This window comes from Homo sapiens, chromosome 9 (assembly GCF_000001405.40).
Source record: "Homo sapiens chromosome 9, GRCh38.p14 Primary Assembly".
Lineage (NCBI taxonomy): Eukaryota > Metazoa > Chordata > Mammalia > Primates > Hominidae > Homo > Homo sapiens.
Window position 1 is genome coordinate 26981846 of NC_000009.12, and position 10841 is coordinate 26992686.

Below are 10841 nucleotides of genomic sequence, written 5' to 3' on the forward strand. Positions count from 1 at the left end.
CAACCCCTGCCTTCCGGGTTTAAGCTATTCTCCTGCCTCAGCCTCGTGAGTAGCTGGGACTGCAGGTATGCGCCACCATGCCTGGCTAATTTTTGTATTTTTTAGTAGAGGTGGGCTTTCACCATATTGGCCAGGCTGGTCTTAAACTCCTGACCTCAGGTGATGCACCTGCCTCAGCCTCCCAAAGTGCTGAAATTATAGGCTGAGCCACCGCACCTGGCCAAGAATAATCTTCTATGTTTTTTTTCAGTAATTAATCTGAAACGTGTTACTCATATCATTAAAATGTTACCAGCTACATCTAATAAGAAAGGGAAAATATGTATACTTATTTATGTTATATTAATCAGTAAGTTTTACATAAGTATGTATTTGGTCAGTTGCTACCAATGTGGCCTAATTTTAATTAATTCATAAGCTTTTTTTCTTTTTTTTTTGAGACGGAGTTTTGCTTGTCACCCAAGCTGGAGTGCAATGATGGGATCTCACGTCACTGCAACTTCCACCGCCTGGATTCAAGTGATTCTCTTGCCTCAGCCTCGTGCCTGTAATCTGCAAGTAGCTGGGATTACGGGTGCCTGCCACCACACTTGGCTAATTTTTGTATTTTTTTTTTTTTTTTTTTTTTGAGACAGAGTTTTGCTCTTGTTGCCCAGGCTGGAGTGCAATGGCCTGATCTCTGGCACCGCAACCTCCGCCTCCCGGGTTCAAGTGATTCTCCTGCCTCAGCCTCCCGAGTAGCTGGGATTACAGGTGTGCACCACCATGCCCAGCTAATTTTGTATTTTTAGTTCAGACGAGGTTTCTCAATGTTGGTCAGGCTGGTCTCGAACTCCCAACCTCAGGTGATCTGCCCACCTTGGCCTCTTAGAGTGCTGGGATTACAGGTGTGAGCCACTGCACCTGGCCTAATTTTTGTATTTTTAGTAGAGATGGGGGTTTCACCATTTTGGCCAGGCTAGTCTTGAACTCCTGACCTCAGGTAATGCACCTGCCTATGCCTTTCAAAGTGCTGGGATTACAGGCGTGAGCTGCCGCACTCGGCCTCATAAACTTTTGTTATATGTCTCTGGGGATGCATCTCTAAATCAATGACTTTTTCTTATTCTTACTATTTTCCCACTTACTTGTTCTACTGTCCTATCTCCATCTTCCCATTTTACTTCATTTTCTTTTTGGCACATTATTTGTATCTTCTTTCTCTTTTATTTCGCTTTTGTTTAATCCACCCTCCCATCATGCCCTGAAAGCCCTGTTTTCTTTTATTTCTCAGTTACCTGGATCCTATTGAGTCTCAAACTCCTAGAAGGCAATAAAGAAAAGTATGGTTTCCCCCCATCTGTTCTCAAAGCTAAGAGTAGTAAGAAAGATAGTAAGGCCATCAGTTGTTTAGTATCTCTGACATTCAGCCACTTTTTAATCAAAAGAAGGAAAGGAAATATAGTTATTCCTAATGATTGCATTGCCTTTCTCCCCCAGGATTTGTGCTTCCACATCAAAGAATAGTTCTAGCTATTTGTGTAATTGTCTGGCTCTAGAGCAGTGGTTCTCAACTGGTGGTGATTTTGCCCCCAGGGAACATTTGGCAATTTCTATACATGTTTCTGGTTGTCACAAGTGAGGTTGGAGGAAGTGCTACTGATACTCAGATCCAGGATGCTGGTAAACATCCTGCAGTGTACAAGATAGTGCTCAACACGAGGTGCTAATCACTGACCCAAAATGTCATTAGTGCTACTGTTGAGAAACTGTGCTCTAGAGGGTAGTAGCAGCTGTGATGATGACAGTTAAGCACCTACATCTGCCTGTGGCTTGTACTAGTTTGACCAGGCTTTCATTCTGGTTCTATTTCATCTTTCTTCATGAATCTATGTCAGTTTCTCCTCAGTTTCTCATCAGTTGAGTAGAATAGGATGGGATATACCTCATTCTTTTTTTTTTTTTTTTTTTTTTTCTGAGATGGTGTCTCCCTCTGTCTCCCAGGCTGGAGTGTAGTGGCACGATCTTGGCTCACTACAGTCTCCACCTCCCAGATTTAAGCTATTCTCCTGCCTCAGCCTCCCTAGTAGCTGGGACTACAGGCGTGTGCCACCATGCCCAGCTAATTTTTGTATTTTGAATAGAGATGGGGTTTCACCATGTTGGCCAGGCTTGTCTTGAGCTCCTGACCTCACGTGATGCGCCTGCCTCGGCCTCCCAAAGTGTTGGGATTACAGGCTTGACCCACCGCACCCAGCCAGAATATACCTCATTCTTAATGAAATAAGCCACCTAAACTTTCTGCATTCTTTTAGTGAATTTCACAAAACTATTTATATTATTATTACGTATTAATGGAAAGTTTAAATTTTGCTTAACTAGAGTTTTCTGGATTAAAAGTATTGCTGACATTCTTATTTCTTTTCTAATAGAAGTAAAATAAGTGAACTTACAACTGAAGTTAATAAACTTCAGAAGGGAATAGAAATGTACAATCAAGAGAATTCAGTATATTTGTCATATGAAAAGAGGTGAGTAATAAGTATTCAGTATTCATTCAGTATTTTGTGCTTATAATACTAACTTTGTAGCTATCCATATTGTTTGTAATGTTCATTTTCTTATGTATATTTTTATGTACATATTTATGAATGTATTTATTTTATGCTTTCAGGGCTGAGACTTTAGCTGTTGAGATAAAAGAGCTTCAAGGACAACTAGCAGACTACAACATGGTATTTTATCTTTTCTAAGAGAATTTACTGTTAATATTTTCATTAGTTTTTACTACTGCTTTAAAAATACATTAGTAGGCAAAGGACATGCACAGATACTTTTCAAAAGAAGACAAACATGCAGCCAACAAGCATATGAAAAGAAGCTCATCATCACTGATGATGATTAGGGAAATGCAAATCAAAAGAATAATGAGATACCATCTCACACCAGTTAGAATGGCTGTTACTAAGAAGTCAAAAATAACAGATGCTGGTGAAATTGCAGAGAAAAGGGAATGCTTATACACTGTTGGTGAGAGTGTAAATTAGTTCAACCACTGTGAAAGCAGTGTGGCGATTCCTCAAAAAGCTGAAAACAGAACTACCATTCAGCCCGTCAATCCCATTACTGGATGTATACCCAAAGGAATATAAATCATTTTACCATAAAGACACATGCACATGTGTGTTCATTGGAGCACGGTTTACAGTAGCAAAGACATGGAATCAACCTAAATGCCCATCAGTGGCAGATTGGTTAAAGAAAATGTGGTACCTATACCATGAAATACTATGCAGTCATAAAAAAGAAAAAGATCATGTCCCTTGCAGGAACATGGATGGAGCTGGAGGTCATTATCCTTAGCAAACTAACACAGGAAAAGAAAACCAAATACTGCATGTTCTCTCTTACCAGTGGGAGCTAAATGATAACACATAGATGGGAACAACAGATAATGGGATCTACTTGAGTTTGGAGGCTGGAAGGAGGGAAAGGATCAGAAAAAATAACTAATGGGTATTAGCTTAGTTACCTAGGTGATTAAATAATCTGCACAACAAACCCCCATGACAGTTTATCTGTAAAACAAACCTGCACATGTACCCCTGAACCTAAAATAAAAATTTCAAAAATTTCAAAAACAATAAAACATTTGATGAAAAAATATATTTATTAATTTATTATTTAAAATACCAAATAGTACATGAATACATACTTATTGGGAAAGATGAAACCATAAAAATTACAACAAATAAAGTATCCCTTTACTTTCTGCTTCATTTCCCTCCCCAGAAATAACTTGGCTTAACAGATTAATATATATTCTTCCATTGTTTTTTGTAAAATACGTTTACTGACACATACACAAATGCACACATGCTTTTCTCCCTAAAATATGTTAAAATAATAATTTAAATAATTTTAAAAGTGGCTAAAATGTATTGGTCCTATCAGTGATCATTGCTTTAAAAACACATTTTTTATCAAGTGTTGTCATCTTGAAAATTTTGAAATTTAATTATTAAACATACAGATTTCCACCATCTTGATGTTTTACTCGAAATATTGTGTACATTGTCAAAATAGAGTATATAACATGATATAGTTCCACTAAAGATGCTTCTACCTGTGGACTTTCAGAAGAAACAGTCCCCCTGGCAATATTGATAACTGCTCAGTCCTTGGGTGATATTGGCCCCATGAAAATTTCTAGTGTCAGAATTTTCTTTTTTCTAACTCTTTAGTTGCTTTAGGAGCAGTGATGTCTGGATTTAATGAAAAAGTCAAATTTTTATCTCACTACCCTTATTAAGAAATAGTGTTACAAGAAATAAACATTCTATCATAATGGTTAGGATAAGATAAGTTATGATATACCTACTTGATAGTGTTACCTTGTGCTTATCAAAAATTTTGCTAATTATAGTATAACTTTTTATTTTTGTTTTTGTTGTTGTTACTGGTGGTGGTGGTGGGTTTTGTTTTTTGTTTTTTTGTTGTTTTTTTTTTTCAAGACAGTCTTGCTCTGTTGCCCAAGCTGGAATGCAGTGGCTCAATCATGGCTCGCTGCAGCCTAGACTTTCTGAGCTCAATTGATCCTCCCACCTAAGCCTCCCAAGCAGCTGGGACTACAGGCACATGCCATCACACCAGGCTAATTTTTTGTATTTTTTGTTGAGATGAGATTTGGCCTTGTTGCCCATACTGGTCTCAAACTCATGGGCTCAAGTGATCTGCCCACCTTGGTCTCCCAAAGTGCTGGGATTACAGGCTTGAGTCATTGTGCCTGGACTATTTTTATTTTTTAATTTTTTTAGAGATAGGGTCTTGCTCTGTTGCTCTGGCTGAAGTGCAGTAGCATGATTGTAGTTCACTGCAGCCTCAAACTCCTGGGCACAAGTGGTCTTCCTGCATCAGCCTCCCAAGTAGCTGGGACTACAGGTGCATGCCAGCATGCCTGGCTAATTTTTAAATTTTTTGGAGAGATGGGGACTTGCTGTGTTGCCCACAATGGTCTTGAACTCCTGGGCTCAAGTGATCCTCCTGCTTCAGCTTCCCAAAGTGCTGGGATTATAAGCATGAGCCATTGCACCCAGCCCTCTTATAATTCTTAAATTTCCTGGACTACACAATTCATCACAAACATTTTGTAGAGCCCATTATTCACTGGGATTTTCTTTAGTAAATGATGTTCTGTTTTAAATGTGAGCAAAATAGTTTTTTTTTGTTTTTTTGTTCTTCTTGAGATGGAGTCTCGCTCTGTCATCCAGGCCGGAGTGCAGTGGCGTGATCTTGGCTCACTGTAACCTCCGCCTCTTGGGTTCAAGTGATTATCCTGCTTCAGCCTCCTGAGTAGCTGGGATTACAGGCGCTTGCCACCAGCTGGGATTACAGGTGCGGTCCTGAGTAGCTGGGATTACAGGTGCCTGGGTAATATTTGTATTTTTAGTAGAGAAGGGGTTTCACCATGTTGGCCAGGCTGATCTCAAACTCCTGACCTCGTGATCCACCCGCCTCAGCCTCCCAAAGTGTGGGGATTGCAGGCATGAGCCACCGCGCCCGGCCGAGAAAAGTAGTTTTTAAAGGTATGAAATGACATGAGATGAAAGGGAGTTTTAGTTATGCTGGAACAAATTAGGCATATTCATATAAAAATACTACCATATAAAATATGCTATTTATAGATTTAATGAGCTAATATCTGATACAGAGCAGTTAGCTGTGTATCTGACATATAGTTAGCACTCAATAAATGTTAGGCCTTATTAGCACTTATTATTTATATCATAAATGAAAAATGTGATATACCTTACACCCAAATAGTTTGCTTTTAGTAGACCTTCTGTTCACATTCTGGCTCTATCGCTTGCTAAATTTCTTTTTCTGTAAAATGTGTACAATCATATCTACTTCATACAGTAATTGTAAAAATTGAGTTAACACATATGTAATAGTGTTTGACACTAGGTAAATATCCTATGTTGACAACTGATATCCTTGCCTAACTTTTTGAAGTAGACTTACTACTGTTCCATCTGTGCAAGCCCTGTTGATTTTTTTTTAATTATTAGAAGATAAAGAATATCTTTTTATGTTTTTACTAGTGTAAATTTGTTTTTTGTTGTTGTTGTTGTTGTTGTTTTTTGAGACGGAATTTCACTTTTGTTGCCCAGGCTGGAGTGCAGTGGTGCCATCTCGGCTCACCGCAACCTCTGCTTCCCGGGTTCAAGCGATTCTCCTGCCTCAGTCTCTCTAGTAGCTGGGATTACAGGCATGTGCCACCACACCCGGCTAATTTTGTATTTTTAGTAGAGACAGGGTTTCTCCATGTTGGTCAGGCTGTTCTTGAACTCCTGACCTCAGGTGATCCGCCCGCGTCAGCCTCCCAAAGTGCTGGGATTACAGGCCTGAGCCACCGAGCCCGGCTTACTAGTGTAAATTTGTAAATCTACTAACATTCCTCTCTCCTTGGGGATGTTGGCAGGGGAAGAGAGGGTGATAGATCTTTCCAAAACTCTCGTCTGTTCCAAACCCTTATTTATAAGCTCAGCCATCTTTTCAGAGCAGGCAAAGCTCCACAAGATATAATATTCAGGAAGAGTTGTTTATTACTGCTCATTTATCCATGTTAAAAATGTGATTTGTTTATTGGCCAGGTGCATAATATATGCTTACTTAGGTAGCTCAATATTTGTTTTTATCTTAAAATAGAAAATATTCAAAAGTATTAATACTTAAGTTACTACTCATTATTTGTAAGACTGAATACCTATATTATTAATTATAGAGAACATGTGTAAAGACTAACAAAATGGTGTTTGTTTGTTTGTATTTTTGTTTTTAGTTGGTAGATAAACTTAATACCAACACTGAAATGGAAGAAGTAATGAATGATTACAATATGGTAAGAAAATTTATAAAAGCAAATTGATCTATGTAAGTCATATCCTACAAAACAAAGCATTTATATCTAGAAATAGTTTGATAAAACCTTAAGTGCTATAGAGGTGAATATTACTCTGATTGTAAATACCACTATTAGGTATTCCTTGAGCTCCCTTAGTTGCTCTTTTAAATTTTCTTCCTGTTGATTGGCTTTCCTAAGTGGGTGTTTAGTGACTGTCTACTGTGTTTGAACTGGTGTCACGTGCAACATTAGTTAGGGAGTGCCATCTCCATTTCCTTATATATATTAGTTTACAGTATTTCTGGCTTAGTTTAAGCACAAATGTTGATGAATACTCAATGTGACAAATGATAACTTTACATAGTTTTTGTCACCAGTGGAGAAAAATGAATAGATATGACTCCAGACATAAAATATTAATTTTTGATTGGTAAATGAGAATCTGTGTTTAACATGGACATAACACTGGGGACTCCAAAAAGGGGGATGGTAGGAGGGCAATAAGGGTGGAAAAATTACCTAGCAGGTACAGTGTTCATTATTTGGGTGATGGGTTCACTAGAAGCCCAAACCTTACCGTTATACAATATATCCATGCAACAAACCTGCACATGTACCTCTGATTCTAAAATAAAAACAAATTTGTATTCAATGTTCTTAGATTAATTGTTTGGTAGAAAACAATAAAATATGTTAATAGCTAGCTTATTTTGATTATAAGCATTTGGATGAAAATAACATACAATTTATAATTTATATAGTTTATAATTTATTTACATGAGTAAAGACTGTTCTATGAAGACATAGGATTGATAAAATGACTCTTCTAAATTTGGGGTTCTCAAACCATGATAATTTAGTTACTTTTAGCTTTAGAACACAAGAGAATTCACTAATTAAGAATCTTATTTCAATGCCAGATATAAAAAGTAAAAACCTTATGTGTTTTGTCAGTTGTTTGGGATGGGGGGTCTGTTTTCTAGGCTGGGTGTGCACAGGTAGAGTTAATTAGGTGTACTCAGATAATATCCTGAATGGTTCAGGAATAAAACTTGTGGTGGTTCTAAATTTAACATATTACTAATCAAATATTTATTGAACACTCAATATATTCTTTGAATGCTGTTTACATAAATTGAATTTACATTGAATTATTTGACAGATCACTGAAGAACAATGAATATTTTTGGTATAAGATTACAATGCTTCTTAAAAAGACTTTTTAAAAATCTGATATTGTTTGTTAAATGAGGCAATTACTTTATTTTTCTTCTTAAACTTTGTATGTGGCACTAGGATAATTATAGTAATTTCTCATTTAGTTCCTAGCCAAAATAACCTACAAAGAAAAAATTTGGTTTAATATTTATTTCTTACTAACTTATGTGTTAACTTTATTCAGCTTAAAGCTCAAAATGATCGAGAAACACAAAGTTTGGATGTCATATTTACTGAAAGACAAGCGTAAGTATAGCTAATTTAAAAATTAGATTCATAAGTAAGCTTTATTAGGTAGTTTAAGTTGTGATCCAGTTATTTCCTTGTAAATTTTCTTAACAATTTCCCCATTGCCTTTTTCATTTAAAAATATTTACAACACAAATTTTGTTGCTTATACTTGTTATCTTCATTTACCATTAAATACCTAAATTCTGTATAAAGACTATTGCTACATAGCTTATATAAATAGGATTTATGCTGCTAGCAGCTGAACACTTATGATGGATAAGAACATCTTTATATCTACTATTTTTGGTTTTAACCTGGGCTTTTAACTAATTTGAATTTTGGTGTTTCATCCCCAATCTAGTGAAAGACACATTATTCATTAGGAAGCTATTTACATTATTTCATTAGCATTGATATTTAATAGTTATATTAGCAATCTACGTCATATATAGATTGTATGTGTGTCTTTATATATAACCTATCTAAAGACTAAATACCAACTAACGCTGGAAATAACGTAATTGTGGCAGTGGGAGTAATGCCTACAAAGATAATAATAGATGTGATGTAGTTAACTTATTTGTGTTTTGTCAGTTGTTTGGGATGGGTCCATATTCTAGGCTGGGTATGCACAGGTTGAGTTAACTAGGGATACTCAGATAAAATCCTGAATGATTCAAGAATAAAACTTGTGTTGGTTCTAAGGTCAAAAAGTTGATGAAGAATAATTAATTTAGAACCAACACAAATTTTATTCCTGAATTATTTATTCTAAGGCAACACAAACACAATGAGCTATGTTGTGTAAACACACATACAAGCACATTCTCTCCCAGAAATTTGTTAATATTAGTCTCTTTGAGAGCAAAGACAATAATAAACCCAAATTACCATATTCAATTACCAAAATTCAGTAACAGCAAATACACTCTCTTGTTACCTCTGCATAAAACAGTAAATATTTGATGATGGATAGATGTTAAAATATACTGATAAAACATTTGAAAGATAAATGTAATTCTTCTATTGATTAAAAACAAGAATCTCTTTTCCCCTGCCTTTAAGTAGAGTTTTGCTCTGTTGCCCTTGCTGAATTGAAGTGACATGCTCATGGCTCACTGCAGCCTTGAACACCTGGGTTCAAGCGATGTTGCCTCAGCCCTCCAAGTAGCTGAGACTACAGGTGCATGCCACTATGCCCAGCTAATTTTTTGTTTCTTGGGGAGACAGGGTCTTATTACGTTGCTCAGGCTAGTCTCAAACTCCTGGTCTCAAGCAGTCCTCCTACCTTGGCCTCCTCAAGTGTTGGGATTACAGGAGTGAACCATTATACCCGGCCACCATCTATCATTTGCTGCTGCTGTAAAGTGGTATCTTATAAACTCAAAATACTAGCAGTCTTTTTCCTTTTACAAGGAAAATTTTGTTCATGGTAACCACGCTCTTACTTGAAAACGTTCCTTTTTTTTTTGTTATCCTGGTTTTAATCCATTTAGCAAATATTTATCATTTACTATATATAAGATACTCTCTTAGGTACTTCAAAGAATAAGAAATATATAAGCTATAGGCCAGTGTGGTGGTTCACACATGTAATCCCAGCACTTTGGGAGGCCGAGGCGGGTGGATCATGAGGTCAGGAGATCAAGACCATCCTGGCCAACACGGTAAAACCATATCTCTACTAAAAATACAAAAATTAGCTGGGCATGGTGGCACGGGCTTGTAGTCCCAGCTACTCGGGAGACTGAAGCAGGAGAATCACTTGAACCTGGGAGGCAGAGGTTGCAGTTAGCTGAGGTCGCGCCATCGTGCCACTGCACTCCAGCCTGGTGACAGAGCGAGACTCCGTCTCAAAAAAAAAAAATAGAGAAATATATAAGCTATAATCCCCTGAAGGCCTTAAAGAGTTTAGAACATTTAAGTTCTCATTTATTTCATCATTTATCTCAAAGTTATATAATACCTAGGTCAGGTTTTAAATATTATATTTACATATTTTACAGATATTTCATCTGAAAACATAATTTCAAGAATAAAAGTTAAAGAATGTCATAGATTTTTACATCTATTTGGTTTTTTTTATTTAGGAAAATCTTCAAATATGGTAATTTGTCCTGAAGATACATCCAAACCATTTAAAAACTCTGTCTGTAATTTGTAATTGAGGCTGAGTGAAATTGGTTCTCTTGTCTGTTTTAGGCAGAAATTGAAATTAAGAACAACAATTGGCCAGGTGCAGTGGCTCATGCCTGTAATCCCAGCACTTTTGGAGGCTGAAGTGGGTGGATCACCTGAGGTCAGGAGTTCAAGACCAGCCTGGGCAATGTGGCGAAACTCTGTCTCTACTAAAAATATAAAAATTAGCTGGGTGAGGTGGCAGGTGCCTGTAATCCCAGCTACTCAGGAGGCTGAGGCACGCGAATCACTTGAACCCAGGAGGCGGAGGGTTCAGTAAGCCGAGATTGCGCCACTACACTCCAGCCTGGGTGACAGGGCGAGACTT

The 10841-nt window shown here is 37.1% G+C and overlaps 1 protein-coding gene across 5 annotated transcripts in view; it reads left to right on the forward strand.

Annotated features, from left to right (window-relative positions):
• The window catches only part of IFT74 (intraflagellar transport 74), a 119025-nt gene that overhangs the window by 34736 nt on the left and 73448 nt on the right, over positions 1–10841 (forward strand). For all 5 annotated transcript variants that reach the window (NM_001099223.3, NM_001099222.3, NM_001349928.2 and 2 more), the window contains exons 5-8: positions 2412–2510; positions 2654–2714; positions 6824–6883; positions 8289–8350. In NM_001099223.3, coding sequence (NP_001092693.1) covers positions 2412–2510; positions 2654–2714; positions 6824–6883; positions 8289–8350 — 282 coding nt within the window. The remainder of the gene's footprint in view (positions 1–2411; positions 2511–2653; positions 2715–6823; positions 6884–8288; positions 8351–10841) is intronic.